General features: G+C 47.0%; 1 long non-coding RNA gene across 1 annotated transcript in view; it reads left to right on the forward strand.

The window, feature by feature from the left end:
- EPIC1 (epigenetically induced MYC interacting lncRNA 1) overlaps positions 1-17,491 on the forward strand; it is a 223,927-nt gene that overhangs the window by 49,350 nt on the left and 157,086 nt on the right. The window contains exons 3-6 of the long non-coding RNA NR_122046.1: positions 5,177-5,289; positions 5,552-5,672; positions 5,780-5,915; positions 6,118-6,183. This is a non-coding gene — a long non-coding RNA (epigenetically induced MYC interacting lncRNA 1). The remainder of the gene's footprint in view (positions 1-5,176; positions 5,290-5,551; positions 5,673-5,779; positions 5,916-6,117; positions 6,184-17,491) is intronic.

The following is a 17,491-nucleotide window of genomic DNA, read 5'->3' on the forward strand; positions in this document are numbered from 1 at the left end:
CCAGGAAGGCGAGCTGAAATCAGGTTGCTACGTTAAAGGCAAAGCTGGTTGCTGTCCTCCAGGGCAATGAAGTCATCGCCTGTGGGGTTATCTTCTTCACCAGGTAGAAGTCATTTGCATCTTTGCCAGGCAGAAATCCACAGCTTGACAAATAATTTCAGAGTCTGGGAATGAATCAGTAGGAAAGAGCAGTAGGAAAGGAGCCTCCCTAAAGAACAAACTCTCGCATATGTGGGCTGCTAGACGGTAGCCCCGTGTGGCGTCGGAAGCCATCCTTTTGCTTATTTGCAAGTCTTGGATGATTTTTTTTAAACAGAGGCAGGCTCTGGAGTTGGAGTGTCATGTTCACATCCCACCTTTGCCTCTCGCAGGTGGCTGTGGGACTACCCCTTCTTCCTGCTCTGAGCTGGGCTTCCTCATCTGAGGATGAGTACAGGGGATGGGGCCCGTCATCATGTATACATCATAGGTCAGTCCCGAAGATCGAATGAAGTCTACATATGAAGTGGTTGGCCCAGCCACAACTCAATAAATGTCAGGGGTAATTACAACAACATTTGAATATTAATGTAGGCAAGTCTCAGCATCATGAAGACTTTAAATAGCTGCTGGCTTGAGGCCAAAGCTACTGAAAAGGCAGTGATGGGAGAAGGGCCATAGAAGGCATGGATTCCCATTTATAGAATGAATCGATGAAAACTCAGAACTGGTGGGGGAGGCAGCCACCAACTCTACTTCAGAGATTGCGGCTTCTGGCAGCAATGGTTGGTTTGAGCAGGTTTGAGTGGTCAGATGTGTGCTCAGCAGGACATGGTGGGCATCTGGGAGATGAGGTGGAGCCAGAACCCGCAGAGTGTCAGGGCACAGGCAGGCAGCAGACCAAGCGAGGTCCATGGGGCTGGGTGGCCTTCCTACCACCTGTCCTATCCAGGCCGCACTCGCAGGGAGTCTTTGTCCTGGGACCAGTGGTTGCTCCTGCCTCCAGGGCATGACAGCCTCCAGGACAGGGCTTGCTGGGCATTCTGGGCTCTGAGTGGCAGCTCCAGGTCACCCTCGCCATCCGTCGGTGTTTTTGCCTGCCAGTTCACCTCTCAGCCGCATGCTGTCTGGCACTGGACTGGAGCCTGGCCATCTTGTCCACTCAAATCTCTGTGATGTGGAAGGCAGCCTGTCTATTCCAAGCAGCCCAATGTCCCCCAGATCCTGCCAGCATCTCTGAAGAGCCTCACCCTGAGGCCCTCGGGGCAGGAGTACCTATTGAGGCTGCCTTGATGGCACTCTGGATGCAGGGAAGCCGAGTGCCACCCTTGCTGAGGGGCACCACGCAGTCCTGCTCTCACCCTCGTGAGGAAAGCAAGCCCAGCTCCTCCCTAATGGGACCTCTTCCCTCCATGCCTGGAGCCTGAGACTCAAAACAAGGCAGAGCTGCCCAATCCGCCTTCCCCCTGCCCTGAGGGGCAACTGCCATGACTCTTTCCATCCCACAGGGCAGCCTGGGAGAAGCCTGGTTCTTGCTTCCCTTCTCTTTGAGCCCACAGCCCTGGACCTAGAGGGTACATTCGTCAGGCAGCCCTCTTGGTTCTCTTCCCACTCACCTGTAAACCCAGGTGCTTGCTGGCTCTGGCAAGAGGACCCTGGCAGTCTTGGTTCATTTGGGCAGCTATAGCAAAATACCACGAACTCGGGCCTGGAAGTCCAAAAACAAGACACCAGGCAGGTTCAGCATCTGGTGAGGGCTTCCTGCTTCCTTATGTGCTATTGAGGTTTTATGGTATTGATTTTAATTGCATAAGAAGGAAGAGAGCAAAAGAGTTGGGATCAAACGTCAAAGTCTTCCAAATGTGAACAGCTACACACAGACTCTCCTGTGAGCACAAGGCCTTCATATGGGCTTGTTATGAAGGCTGCTCCTTACTGGGCCATCCTTGTTGATCCAAGCAAGAGGGATGTCCCGGGAAAGGACAGCAAGGGGATGAGGAAAATGCAGATGGCTGTAGCTCTGGGAGCCTTGGGAAAGTTGTCTGTTTTCCTGTTTCCTCATCTGTACAATGGAGACTGTGATGGTGAGAAGTTAGTGCAGTGGCTGCAGGGCTGAATGTGCAGATGCACAAGACCAGAACCCTCCCATGGTTCTTCTCTGTGCCTTGGGCCCACTGCTCAGCCTTGGAGCTGCTTGGCTGCTTCCTTCCTGACTTCAGGAGCTGGTGCCCCAGGACGCTGCAAACAGAGCCACAAGTGCTCAGGGGTGCACAGTTGGCTCTGTGCTGAACAGGTCCTTCTTCCTCTCATAGCTTCCATTTCTTCATCCTTCAGATGATTCTAGGACTTGGCCAGGATAGCCTGAATGTTCCCATCAGCTTGGCTGATGCTTGGGCAGGCTTCTTCCTGACTTGAGGCCCCTGACCTCCCTTTGCTCAGAGCATTGCTTTAGAAAAATTGCGGTTGTAAGTCTCTCTCTGGCCCTTTGAGATGGAAACCTTCTACAACCCAGGAATGTATTTCTCAAGGACCTGGAAGTGGTTCCTTCAAAACATGATCATCAGGAAGATGGTGCCCCCGACTCCCAGTCCCTGAGGGAGGGGAGCCTGATGTTGATGAGAGGTGATTGGCAAACACACACAGCCTGATCACATCAGCCCACCTTCCCCCAGTGTCCTCTAGGACTTTACCCCTAGCTCATTCCAAAGCTTCAAAACCCTCCTACCTGTTGTTTCAGTGGAATTGAGTTCAATCTCTCTCCCAGGTTGCAATAGTCTTGGATAAAATCTTCCTTGCCTGTTTAACTCTGACCAGTACATTTTTTTTTAAGACTCCGCCATTTAGTGTTATATATATTTTTCAGGTAAGTTACATAAGTTGTGCAGCCTCAGTCTCTTTTCAGCCTTCACATATTTGCTCAAAGCATCTGGGCCACCCTCTTCCTTCCCCACCCTCCTTTCTAAATGCTTCCTTCCCATTTTTCAACGTTCTTCTGCTGATTTATCCCTGCCCAGCGGTAGTCAGTGACCCTCCTTTCCCTTGACTCTAAGCCTGATGAGCTTCGCTCTCTTGTTTTGCTTCTGGGCTGCTCTTCAGGCACAGAGTCGAAGTTGGGTGAACTCATGAATTTACGGCTCCCCATTTTCAAGTCCAGCCCTGGCATATATACAAAGCTCCAGGGTTGTCTTACTGCCTATCCTGGGTTTATTTCAAACTCAGTATAGGAAAGAAAGCTTATAATTGCCCCCTCATCCCCCAAGACACCACTTTCCCTCCTTATTTTTTCTGCTTCTCAAATGCCTAGGTATTCTCTGAGCCCTGACTCAATAAAGTGGAGCCAGTCTTTGTCTCCACCCATATCTAATCCATCTTTCCCTTCTGTTAGGAAAAAGTTCACTCCTCTCTATTTATATGTTGAAAGTCTAGCTTCCAATGTGACTACATTTGGAGATAGGGCCTTTAAGGAGAGAATTAAGGTTAAACATGGTCCTAAGGGTGGGGCTTAACCTGATAGGATTGGCATCCTTATAAGAAGAGACATCAGAGCTCTCCCTCTGCCACATGAGGACACATTGAGAAGGCTGCCACCTGAAAGCTGGAAAGAGTGCCCTCATCAGGAACCACAGCTGGAATGTTGATCTTGGACTCACCAGCCTCCAGAACATGAGGAAATAACCACTCAGTGGTAATTTGTTATGCAGCCCTAGCTAACAAATACCCACATTTCCCATTGGTCTTGCTTTCTCTTCCTAATGCCTCCTAACTGTGTCTCTCATGCACATAATGAGTTGGTAACCAAAAGCCACACAAGAAGCCCTACATAAGTGGTAGCTCCTACCGTGTAACTACTACCACTGTTTATCTATTATTTATTTATTCATTCATTTTTTTGGTGGTGCAATATACATAACAAAAAATTACCATTTTAACTGTTTTTGAATATATAATACGGTGGTATTTAGTACCTTCATGTACAACCATCACCACCATTCATCTCCAGACTTTTTTATCTTCCCAAACTGAAACTCTATAGGCATTAAACACTAACTCCCCTTCTCCTCCACAGCCCTTAGCACCCACCATTCTATTTTCTGTCTCTGTGAATTTGACTCCTCTAGGGACCTCACATAAGTGGAATCACGCAGTATTTGTTGCCTATCTCTGAGCAGTTCTCTCAGAGAACTGTTGTGCTCTCCTGCAAAACAGTTCTTAAAGGGGGTGAAGCTTTTGGGTGAGATTGCTTTTCTCCCCACTCCCCACCCAAGAGTCCACAGATGGTTCAAACGCAGGTTTCTCAACGCGTTTTCTTTACAGAATCACTGTCTCAGTATGCTGAGGGGCTGAGCTCCTTAAGGGAAGTGGCCACATCATCAAGGGAGAAAGAGGTTCTTAATGACTGTCCACTACAGCCTCAGTTTTCAGGCAGAGCCCAATTTGCTGTCTTGGGTAACACTCATAGAAGCCCTGAGATGCAGGTACTGTCAGTCCATTGCAGGGGAGGAATTGAGGTTAAAAAGTGTCCAAGATCATGTGGCCATTCAGGGCCAGGTCTGTGCCTTCAGTTTCATGAAGCATTTGGAGGGGCTGGAATGACCCATCTGTACATCTGCCTAGTTCATGCCTGATACTTTATGTGAATAAGGCAATGGAAGGTGCTGGGGTTTTCAGAGGATGAAAAAATATATAGAATGCTGTATTAGTCTGTTCTCACATGGCTATAAAGATACTACCTGAGGCTGGGTAATTTATTAAGGAAAGAGGTTTAATTGATTCACAGTTCCACATGGCTGCGGTGGACTCAGGAAACTTACAATCATGGTGGAAGGTGAAGGGGAAGCAAGGCACTTTCTTCACATGATGGCAGGACAGAGAAGAGTGAGTGAAGGAGGAACTTGCCAAACACTTATAAAACCATCAGATCTCATGAGAACTCACTCACTATCAGGAGAACAGCATGGGGGAAACCGCCTCCGTTTTCCAATCACCTCCCACTAGGTTCCTCCTGCAACACCTGGTGATTCAATTCAAGATGAGATTTGGGTGGGGACACAAAGCCTAACCATATCAAATGCCTCACTGAGCCCTGGCAGAGTCCCGTCCAGCTCAACGTGCTGAGCAGTTAGGTCAATGAGGAGGCATTTGGAACAGGCTGGAAGCTTCCCTGTGTGACAATGGCCTTTTCTCTTCTGCAAAACAGGCAGCTGAGGCGGAGGAACCCTAAGGGCTCATTGAGATCATGGATTTGCCCTTCTATGCATTGATGGAGCACCTGCTGCCCACAGCGTCTGTATTTGGTGCTGGGATGCTGAGGTATGGCCATGAATACTCTCTGGCAAGGAGAGAGGCATGGGACCCCCCAGAAAGGTGCCCAGTACATGGGCAAGCCCTTTGCAAACTCCTGGAACATGCACATCTGATGGATGATGTTCATTCCGAGTTCAGGCAAACATTCCTTGTTCTGCTTTCCACTTTCATTTGAGCCCCTCTGAGTACTGACTTTTGTAGTTACAGCATCTTCCTATGTGTGCTCTTTCTCTCTCTCCAAGCCTCCTTCTTTATGAATTTTTAAAAGGACACTGAGATCTTCAAACAGAGGCTGCCACTCTAAGCAAACAGATCCCGAGCCCTGGACTCTGAAGCTTGGGCCCAGTTCTCCTTTTCTCCGGGTTTCAGATCCCACTGTGAAGTGAGGGGTAAGTACCAGGTGGTCCTCATGGTATCTGCCTGTCTGATTCTGCCCTTGATGGACATCAGCCCTCAGTCACAGAACCAGTTTCCAAAGAGCCATCTGTGTCTGCAGGGCCCTTCTGATTCAGGACCCGGGGAAGCCAGGGGCATGAGCATCGGTGCCTCTTCTCTATTTCAAGGACCCTTCTGGGTGTAAAGTTCTCTGAGATGCCTTACATGGATTCCCACCACTGCAAGATAACCATCGTGTAAGTATTCTGATTGTTTTTCTTCCTCTCTGATAAGGTTTTAAAAGTAATAAAGGAAGATGCCCCAAGGAAACAAGATAACGGGATTAAAGTGAGAAAAGGAGAGAACAGCCAGGCAATGTTTCTGAGATGCTCTCGATGACCTGCAGGCAAATCCTTCCTTTTAATTGTCACTAAAGGGATTATACAATTTCCTCCTCAGATGTAAAGTGTTATGACCAGCAGAGCGTAATTGAAGTGCATTCCAGAGGGAAAGACAGCGGCTCAGGTAGGCCTTAGAGAATCCGCCTTGGGACGAATCCCATTCTCACACTCCTGTAACATCCTTATCAGAAGGCTGGAAGACCAAGCTGGGGCTGTGGGACTAGGAGTAATTAAAATACCTTTAATTGGAAGATTCTATAATGCCTTCTGCAGCAACGGAGCATGAATACCATCCGTTCCTTGGCCCTCCTGTTGGGAGCCATTGGAAAGGCAAGAATTCTTCTCTGTTGGGAGAGTGTTCAAAATGCAGCTTGACTGTGGCTGTGTCCACACACGTAAGGCGATTTCCCTGAAGGTGAGGGCAGGAGAACAACCCTAGGAATTTTTCGGGCAGGATGAGGGAGAGATGGAATGAAAGAGTGGATGGTGGGGCCAAGGCTGAGGAGCATAGACTAATAGTGGTGGGACCAAACATGTTGGAAGAGTGTAGGACTTGTCTGTCTATTGCTGCAGCAAGAAATTTTCAGAAAATTAGTGACTTTAAATTATATAGATTTACATGCAAAATGGGTGGTCAGGGCTGCATTCCTTCTGGAGGCTCTGGAAGAGGACCCATTTCATTGCCTTTTCCAACTTCTAGAGGTTGCCTGTGTTCCCTGGCTCATGGTCCCTTCATCCTCAAAGCCAGCAGCATGCCATCCTCCAATCTCTCTCAGACTGACTTCTGCTTCCAAGGACACATCTCTTCCTCTGATCCTCCTCCCTCCCTTGTGTAAGAACCCTGATTAGCCTGGACCACCCCCACCCCCGGATAACCTGAGATCAGCTCCCCATCTCCAGTTCCTTAATTGCACGTGCAAAGTTCCTTTTGCCATGTAAGGTGACATGTTCGCAGGTTCCAGGAATTGGGACACAGACTGGGACATGGACTGAGACGTAGACTGGGACATGGACTAGGATAAGGACTGGGATGTGGACATCTTTGCAGGGCTGTTCTTCTGCCCACCATAATGACCAAGGAGAAGCCAGTAATTAGGATGTCACAGAGTCTGCGTTTAAAGGGAGACCCTGGATAGGTGCAGAAAGGAGCTGAATCACCAGAGCTTGCTTTCTTTTTAAAATATCATGGTAAGATACTGTTAAAAAATTAACATAGTCACATTAAAACTTTAAAGGGTTTATGTCAGCAGAAAGCTACTCATGAATAGGGCAGCTCCAGATCCCAGCTGGTTGGGGGTTCTGCTGGAGGGGCTTGGAGGGAAAGCTTTTATAGGGTGAATGTGGAAGCAGAGCAAAGAAATTATTTAATTGGTTAAAGTGGAGCAGTCCTTTCATTTGAACTCTCCAGCCAGGGGGAGTTCCTCGTAATAGAACTCATGCTTACTTGGCTGCCTGTGATTGGCTGAGCGTAAGTTTCTTTTTTTCTTTCTTTTTTTTTTTTTTTTTGAGACAGTCTCACTCTGTTGCCCAGGTTGGAATTCAGTGGCATGATCTCGACTCACGGCAATCTCGCAATCTCTGCCTCCCAGGTTCAAGTGATTCTCCTGCCTCAGCCTACCAAGTAGCTGGGATTACAGGTGCCCGCCACCATGCCTGGCTAATTTTTTTTTGTATTTTTAGTAGAGGTGGGATTTCACCATGTTGGCCAGGGTGGTCATGAACTCCTGGCCTCAAGTAATCCACTGGCTTTGGCCTCCCAAAGTGCTGGGATTACAAGCATGAGCCACCACCCCTGGCCTTAAGTTTAATTCTGCTTATGTAAGAACCCAAGGCATTAGGGTACCCTTAGTCTGAGGGCCTCCCTTTTAATTGTTTTAACAATATACAAAACATAAAATGTATGGTATCAATCACTTTAAAGTGGCTGAGCAGAGAGGCATTAAGTATGTTGGCAATGCTGGGCAACCATGAACATTACCTAAACGTAGGATATTATCAAGTCCCTACAAAAAGGAGTTCCCTCATTCCCTCCTCCGCCGGCCCCTGGTAACCATCTATCTACTTCTCATCTCCATGAATGCGCCTATTCTGGACAACTCATGTAAATGGAATCAGGCACTATATGGCCCTTTGTGTCTGGCTTATTTCACAGAGCATAACGTTCTCAAGGCTCAGCCACACTGTAGCCTGTGTCAGAACTTCATTCCTGGCTGGGTGCCGTGGCTCACACCTGTAATCCCAGCACTTTGGGAGGCTGAGGCGGGCAGATCACTTGCAGTCAGATGTTCAAGACCAGCCTGGCCAACATGGTGAAAACCCATCTCTACTAAACATACAAAAATTAGCCGGGCGTGGTGACACACATCTTTAGTCCCAGCTACTCAGTAGGTTGAGGCAGGAGAATTGCTTGAACCTGGGAGGTGGAGGTTGCAGTGAGCCAGGATCACACCACTTCACTCCAGCCTGGGAGACAGAGCAAGACTCTGTCACAACAAACGAACAAACAAACAAACAAAACTTCATTCCTTTTTATGGAGGAACACTACCATATTTCATTGTATAAATATACCACATTTTGTGATACACCACTTGGGTTGTTTCCACTTTTTGTCTATAATGAATAATGCTGCCAAGAACACTCCTATGCAAATATGTATTTAAACACTGCTTTTGAGTCTCCTAGGTACATGCCTAGGAGTGGAGAGTTGGTCATACAGTAATTCTGTGTTTATCATATCAAGGAGCTGTTGTCGTATTCTTTTTTTTTTTTTTTTTTGAGAGAGGGTCTCACTCTGTCACCCAGGCTGGAGTGTGGCAGTGCCATCACGGCTCACTGCAGCCTCGTGTTGTCATATTCTTGATAGAGATTACATTATTTAACCTCAGAACAGCCCTTGGCCCCAATTATCTTGGACTTAAGCTGGCATGAGACCATGCTGGGTGGTAAGTGTGGGTGTTTCTGATATTTAGAGATAAGGAAGCAGGGGGTCGGGAAGATGGTATGGTTTGTCCAAAGGGCTGCTGCAAACAACAGCTAAGGATGCTTTTCCCTATTGGTCAAGACCAATAGATCTGAGTTGGAATAACAATAGAAGGTGGAAGGAGCTGAGTTTGATGCCTTCATCTCTTTACAGAAGTAGAAGATCAGGGCTTGCCAAAACCAGGGGCCAGGCTGAGGGCTTGGGAGGCAGGAGGAGGGCTGAAGCCCCTGCTGTGAGAGAAGGGATGAGGTTGTGGCCTTGGCAAGGGGTGGATCAAAGGACCCACTGTCAGGGGGTTTTAAGGACCATTGATGGCTGGCCCTGAGAGTAAGTAGAGAACCTGTTGGTGGCTTTCTCCAACTTCCAGGACAGCAGGGCCCCCTGGATTTGGACATCGCTGGCCATGTGCACCCCATGCTTGTGTGGCTTGAGGCACCTGGCTGTGTGGCTGAGCTTCCTTCTCTGTCAATCGCTCCCTCCCTCCCTCCCCAGCTCCACTGGGCTCGAGAGCCCTGCAGGCCATGTCCCTGACCTTCCTGAGTGGTGCCTCTGTGAGCTGAGCGTGAGGCTCACAAACTCATATGAAGGTGGGCTGGAGGCCTTGCCAGGCGTTTTGGGGTTTCACCCATGGGATGCTGCTTGTTTGCTGATACCACTAAGCAAATGAACAGTTGCATTCTCTGAGAGGGAAACAGTCCAGCCAAAATGGTGCATGGCTCACCCAGGATTCACGCCACACCCAGTGTCACCCCAGCAGCGGGGGGCCTGGGAACCACTTCTGTGTAAGGAGCTCAAACCTTCCCCTCAAAGTGGCTTTCCAGAGGGCCAGGCTCACTGAGTCATGGTTTGTCCTTATTTCCTACAGATTCTATTGAAAGAAACATGACATAATGATACCACAGCAAAAGCCAATCTTGCTCCTTTTTAAAAAATTAAAAACAAAACAAAACAAAATTAAAAAACAAGAAAAAACACCACCATAGGATGTCCACCCTGGGAGACTAATTCTAAGAGAGAAGCTCTGTTCTTCCACTGCTAATCACTCCAAATAAATACCACGACTGAGCTTGTCGGAGAAGAGAGAGCAGCAACAGCCTTGCCCACAGGTCTTCTCATCTGCATGAGAACAAAGTGGATGGCTCAGAAAGACAGAGACACTCTTCCATCCAATATGAAATCCCATCAGAAGTGTAGAGAGGCCTCCAGCTGCATCCACCTCCAGGCCCCACCCAGCCTCCTGTCCTGAGCCGCTTTGGATGAGATCAGGGGCTCATGAGCCATGCAAAGCCAGCCCGGCATTCCTGCCCAGAACAGCCATGCTTGCATGTTTCTGTACATTTCGTCCATGGTCTTCTTGTCCACAAGTCTTAGCCGGCCTATTTCCCTTCTCCAGAAACATAAACATGGTATTTGTAATTTTATTATCACCAAGGTTGCATTGATGAGAGGCTTTCTCCTTGTGTGTCGCGGTTCAGGAGCCAGTTTGAGGGGCCCAGGCCCTGAAGCAGCCTTCTTAGGAGGGCAAGCCTCTTTTTGCGGAGAAGATTCCTGGGCTGGCAGAGTGTGTGGTGTGGTTCATTTCATGTGCCAACTTGCCTGGGCCATGGGATGCCAGACAGCTGGTGAAACATTATTCCTGGTGTCTGGGAGGGTGTTTCTTAATGAGAGCACATGTGAACCCACAGATTGAGTCAAGAAGACCCCTCCCTAGTGTGGGCGGGCATTGTCGTCCAATCCACCGTGGGCCCTGGTAGAACAAGGAGGCAGAGAAAGGGTGCATTCTTCCTCTCTGAGCTGGGACATTTGTCTCCTCTTGCCCTTGGACACCTGTGCTCCTGGTTCTCAGGCCTTAGACTCTAGGACTCACATTATTGCCCTGGCCCCCATCCTCGCCCACCCTACCCAGTACTCAGGCCTTCAGACCAGGACTGAGCGTGCACCTCCTGCTTTCCCGGGGCTCCAGCTTACAAATAGCTTATCCTGGGACTTCTCAGCCTCCATGATCCTGTGAGCTGGAAAGGGAGAAACAGATCAGTGGGTTCTGTATAGTAATACAGAAGAGGGCTGGGCGCGGTGGCTCATGCCTGTAATCCCAGCACTTTGGGAGGCCGAGGCGGGCTGATCACCTGAGGTCAGGAGTTCGAGACCAGCCTGACCAACATGGAGAAACCCTGTCTCTACTGAAAATACAAAATTAGCCAGGCGTGGTGGTGCTTGCCTGTAATCCCAGCTACTCGGGAGGCTAAGGCAGGAGAATTGTTTGAACCTGGGAGATGGTGAGCTGAGATCGTGCCATTGCACTCCAGCGTGGGCAATAAGAGCAAAACTCCATCTCAAAGGAAAAAAAACAAAGAAGTAATACAGAAGAGAAAATTTCCACGTCCCTCAGAAAGTCTCTTCTATGTTATTACATAGAGCCCAGTGGTCTGTTTCTCCGGCAAACCCTGACTCATCCAGGGCGGCCTATGCATTTTCTGTAAAAATACCTCTTTAGTTACAAATAAGCACATAGGTCTGGTACCCTGCATGTTGTCCATATTCAGTGAGTATTTATGGAGTTGGACATCAAACGAAAGTAAAAGGCCTTTTGGATGAAGATTCGGTCATCAGCAGTATTTTGGTGGAAGGACTGTAGCTTTGCTCTGCTGTTGTGATGGAAACACAGTGATGTATCTTTTTCTCCACATCACAGACCTTCTGGGCAGTGGGTGGGAACCTCAGTCTTTCTAGCCGTTCAGAGCCCGCCTCCACAGTTCATCGGGGTGAGGAGGCTCCAGTCCTTGCTTTACCAGAGATACATGTCAAGACCTGGCCCTGCCTCTGCTCCAGACCTGGCAGAGGGAGGTCTCCCAGAGACACCCCCTCTGGGACTTGTTCCCCCGAGGCAGCGGCACATCTGATCCCCTCCACGGTGTTCCCGGTTCTAGGGCGTTGCTATTGGCTTCTGCACTGGATCTGCCATCTCCACCTTCTCTCTGCACAATGGGGCGTCTTTGCAGGGCTCTGGTGAGTGTATGAACAGCTGACCCATGTGCTTTCGGACTTTCTTTCCTCGATTGTTCTGGCGTCTTTCCAGGGCATCTCTGCAGGAGGCTGGTACTCCTTGCTCACCATCCTGATCACGTTACCTCCTGTGTGACCCAGGCGGTAAGAGGGCAGCAGAGGAAAAACCCCTGTCCAACAGAGGAGAGAATAGTGCCAGGGAGGTTAATGTTCTCACTCAGGCTCCTGCAATAATTTGATATAAAACATGTGTCTGGATTCTGGGCATCCTCACTGGTTCTACCACTGCACTACATGGAACTGATTTTATTTGAGTGTTTTCAACACCCCATTGACTGACAGCCATGTCTCTTTAATCCTTCATTTTTTTTTTTTTTTACTTCCTCAGTTTCCAGGGATTGTGGGATATAGAGATGCATCAGGCACTTCCCTCTCCTCCAGGACTCAGTGGGAAGAGACTGTCCACTGTGGGAGGCCACTGAGCTCCTGGTTTGATTATCCAAAGTCAGGGGTGTTTGTTAGAGTCATGCATGGGGGAGCAGCTGCAGCAGCCCCCAAGGACGACTCGCCCCAGCCCCCAGCCCCTTTGCGGGGGCTGCCTTGGCTGGTGACACTCCCTGTAAGGTAGGAGCCTACTGGGCTTCTGTATACACAACTGATTCTACATGAGACCATGCTCACACATGTGTTTTTATTCACACAGATCCAGAGGGTCTGCAGAAGCACGTCCTCCCCTGGTGTAGGGGCTAAAGAGGCACTGTGGGCCCAGGAGTCACGACTTCTGCCACAGCACACCTCTTGACCCCCAGGGTATCAGGGTGGCTTTAGGGCGGAGTTGGCCTTGAAGGTCTTCATCACAAATCCATCCCCCTCAAGGCACCATGATGGTTCCATGGTGTCTGTCTATACTGCAGGGTTGGGAAAGTAGGATTGGGTGGCTGAGAGACACCACCAGCAGAAAAGAATCTGTGTTGCAGATCGTAATGACACAGCGTGACAAATGACAACAGTCGCAACAAGGGCAAACAGAATTATCATGGTGGTGACACCTGGCATTCCTTGTTTATTTGATCCCAGGGATTGCGTTGACCACATCACATGGTGTCACCATGATGCTTTCAGTACCCTGGTTGACTGCTTTTGTCCAGTGAAAAGATGATTCAAGGGTCACTTAGGAACTTACATTTAAAGAATATTATTTGATGTATGAAAATTACACATTAAAAAATGACTTCCTTATCTCTTTGAATTCAACTCTGATTAATGTTTGATCCTATTTATAAACTTAGACCATGAAATTCCCTCAAGTATTTTAAATGGAATTAATATATGTAATATATTTGATTTTCTTTTCTTTTTTCTTTTTTTTTTTTTTTTTTGGTATTTCAATCGTCTGGCTAGCAAACAGAACTTCCAAGCATTTAAACAGTGCTTGTAAATCTAATAAGTTAAGCTAACAAATATGAAGCAGCTTTAATTCTCTAGATTTTAATATACTTTGTGAGCTTAGTAACATTTTCCTATTCCTCTTAAGATAAGCTTTTTTTTTTTTTTAAAGTGGAAACTAATATTAAAGGGCACAATGGAAAGTGTAGGGCTGGAATGAATGAATGAATGAATGAATGAATGAGTGATTTGTGGAAAGAAAATACACTCATGTTACCAACTCAAGACAAAACTATAATAACCCAGAAGCCTCCCTTGCGGTCTGCCCCATACATTACCTGCCAAGTTTCTGCTATTTTTACTTATATCACTATAGACATTTTCCCCTAAACTTCTGTAGATAGTATCACTCAGCCAGCAGTCTTTCAAGTCTGGCTTCTTTCAGATACTAGTGTATTGTAGCACGCTCTAAGGCAGTTGTCCCCACCCTTTTTGGCACCAGGGACTGGTTTCATGGAAGACAATTTTTCCAGAGACCAGGGCTGGGGTGGGGGTTGGTTTCAGGATGATTCAAGTGCATTGCATTTGTTGCGCATTTATTTCTATTATTATTACATTGTAATATATAATGAGTCATTCTATAATTTATCGTAACATAGAATCAGTGGGAGCCCTGAGCTTGTTTTCCTGCAACTAGGCGGTCCCATCTAGGGGTGATGGGAGACAGGGCCAGATCATCAGGTATTAGATTCTCATGAGGAGCATGCTCAACCTAGATCCCTCACATGTGCAGTTCACAATAGGACTCACATTCCTATAAGTCTCTAATGTCATTGCTGATCTGACAGGAGGCAGAGCTCAGGTGGATCAGTAGCGTTCTGTGGCCTGGGGGCGGAGGCCTCTAAGACACGGGTTGTGGCTATAAGATGAATGACAGCCATAAGGCCCACTCTGACATCTCTCGGGGCCGATGCACTATGTATCACTTAGCAAGATGCTGTAACCTGGTCTGGGGATTTCCAACCCTGGTCTGGGGAATTACTGGGTCTCCATGACAACAGGACCTAAAAAACCTGGTTGCCCTAGAGACAAGGCCTCCTCAGCACATATGCAACCTTCTTGAACCTTAAAACCAACCTTACTCTTACAAGAATAGCTTAAACTCCCTTTATGAAAGAAACACCTGGTAACTGACCCAGACTGAAGGGAGACATCTCCCCTGGGGAACGTGGTTCACTAGGACCATCCAAGACCCCTGAATGAGGCAAGTATGTCTGTGACATTCATTCATACTGTTGGGCAAAGCACTGGTTCCTTCTTTTCCATTGCCAGACAGTGTTCTACTGTGGGAATCTACTATAATACATGTGTGTGTCCTACTGTTGGTGGACACTTAAGTTGGTTCTGGTCTTTGGCCATTAGAAGACTGCTTCAATGATGTACATGTCTCTTGTACACATGTACAGATTTCTGTTGAATAGATACGGACATGTATATGTTTGTTTTTGGTAGATAATGCCAAGCAACTTTCCCAAGTTATGTGCCAATTTCTACTTCCTTTTTTTTTTGAGACAGAGTTTTGTTCTTGTCGCCCAGGCTGGAGTGCAATGGTGCGATCTCGGCTCACTGCAACCTCTGCCTCCCAGGTTCCAGTGATTCTCCTGCCTCAGCCTCCCGACTAGCTGGGATTACGGATGGCCGCCACCACGCCTGGCTAATTTTTGTATTTTTAGTAGAGACGAGTTTTCACCATGTTAGCCAGGCTGGTATTGAACTCCTGACCTCAGGTGATCCACCTGCCTCGGCTCCCCAAAGTGCTGGGATTACAGGCGTGAGCCACTGTGCCCGGCCACCAATTTCTACTTTCAAAAGCACTGTCTGGGCATCTTCACAACCTCACCAACTTGGGATGGTCAGTTTGTAAAATTTTGGCCACTTAAGTGGTTATATACTCATAATTCTTTGTGGTTTTAAAATGCCTTTACCTGATGATTAATAAAACTGGACATCTTTTCATATGTATTGGCCATTTTGATATCAAATTTTATGACGTATCTGTTCAAGTCTTTTGCCTACTTTTTATTAGGCTATTTGTCTTCTATTAAGAAAATGGTCAGACTTATTTTTATATATTAGCCATTCACATTGCAAGCATACTGCTAATATTTCTTCTGTCTGTGGTTTGCCATTTTACTCCTTTAAAGTTATCCTTTGATGAAAGAAGCTCTTATGTGATGCTTAGAGGTCCTTAATTTTAATGCAATCCATTTTATTGATCTTTACTTTGTGGTTAGTATTTTGTTGTGTGCTCTTTAAGAAATCTTACCCTTTTCCTGCGGTCGTGAAGATATTTTCCTAGATTTAGCATTTTTCCATCCACACTTTGGCTATGACCCACCTGGAATTGATGTTTGTGCATGGGGTAAGTTAAGCATCAAGGTTCAGGTTTTTCTACATGATACACATTTTCCAAATGCCCCAACAAAATTTAAGTTATTTCCTCCCTGCACTGCCATGGCACCTTGCCAGGTTTGTGACTGGCCATGTGGGGTCTGCCTCTGGACTCTCTGTTATGTTCCAGTGCTCTATCTCTCCTATGCTTGTTCCACAGTCTTTTGTGTTAGTTTGTTTTCGTTTTTATCTTTTGGTACATTATTATTGACTAAAGTCCATTGTTTACATTAGGATTCATACTTACTGTTATACACTCTATGGATTTCAGCAAATGCATCATTTCATATATTACAGATCATACAGAATAGTTTCACTGCCTTAAAAAATCCCTTTTGCTCCACCTGTTCAACCCTCCCCCTCTCTCTGAACTCCTTGCAATCACTGATCTTTTAAAAAAAATGTAATTTTTAGGATTATGGTAAATATGCATGGGATAGATGTAACCATTTTAATCATTTTTAATTGTAAAATTCAGTGGCATTAGGCAGTGTTGATGTAAAGAGTCAAACTGTAAAATATTTAAAGAGATTTATTTTGGGCTGGGCATGGTGGCTCACGCCTGTAATCCCAGCACTTTGGGAGGCTGAGGCAGGAGGATAACCTGAGATCGGGAGTTCGAGACCAGCCTGGCCAACATGGAGAAATCCTGTTTCTACTAAAAATACAAAATTAGCCAGGCGTGGTGGTGCAGGCCTGTAATCCCAGCTGCTCAGGAGGCTGAGGCAGGAGAATCACTTGAACCCGGGAGGCGGAGGTTGCGGTGAGCCAAGATCACACCATGGCACTCCAGCTTGGGCAAAAAGAGTGAAACTCCATCCCCGCCCCCCCAAAAAAAAAGAAAAGATATTTATTTTGAGCCAAATGTGAGGCCCATGATGTTTGACACAGCCTTAAGAGGTTCTGAGAACATGTGCCCAAGGTTTACAGCTGGGGTTTTTACATTTTAGGGGGACAGAAGTTACAGGCAGACATCAATCAATAAATGTAAGCTGTACATTGGTTCAGCCTGGAAAGGCAGGACAATTGAAGCTTCCAGGTCATAGGTGGATTCAAAGGTTTTCTGATTGGCAATTGGTTGAAGGACTTAAGTTATTATCTAAAGATCTGGAATCAATACAAGGGAATGTCTGGGTTAAGATAAGGGGTTGTGAAGACCAAGGTTTTTATTATGCAGATAAAACTTCAGGGAGTAGGCTTCAGAGTCAATAGGTTGTAAGTGTTTCTTATCAGACTTAAAAAGGCGCCAGACTCTTAGTTAATTCTCTCCTGGATCAAAGTAAAGACCTGGAAAGGGAAAGGGATTCTCTACAGAATGCAGATATCCCCCACAAGAGACAGCTTTGCAGGACCACTGCAAAATATGTCAAAGAAATATATTTTGAGGTAAAACACTTCCATTTCTTTCAGAGCCTGCTATCTGTCATGTGATGCTACACTAGAGTAAGGTTGGAATTTGGTGTCCTATTGCTACAAGGAGTCTGTTTTTTCATTCTTCAGATCTCTGTCTTCATGGTAACGCTGGTCTGTTGTGCCTGAACTCCAAAGGGAGGAGGGTAAAATGAGGCACGCCCAACCTTCCACTTCCTCTCATGGCAGGTTTCTCTGCAG

The sequence above is a fragment of the Homo sapiens genome, chromosome 22 (genome assembly GCF_000001405.40).
Source record: "Homo sapiens chromosome 22, GRCh38.p14 Primary Assembly".
NCBI classification, from domain to species: Eukaryota; Metazoa; Chordata; class Mammalia; order Primates; family Hominidae; genus Homo; species Homo sapiens.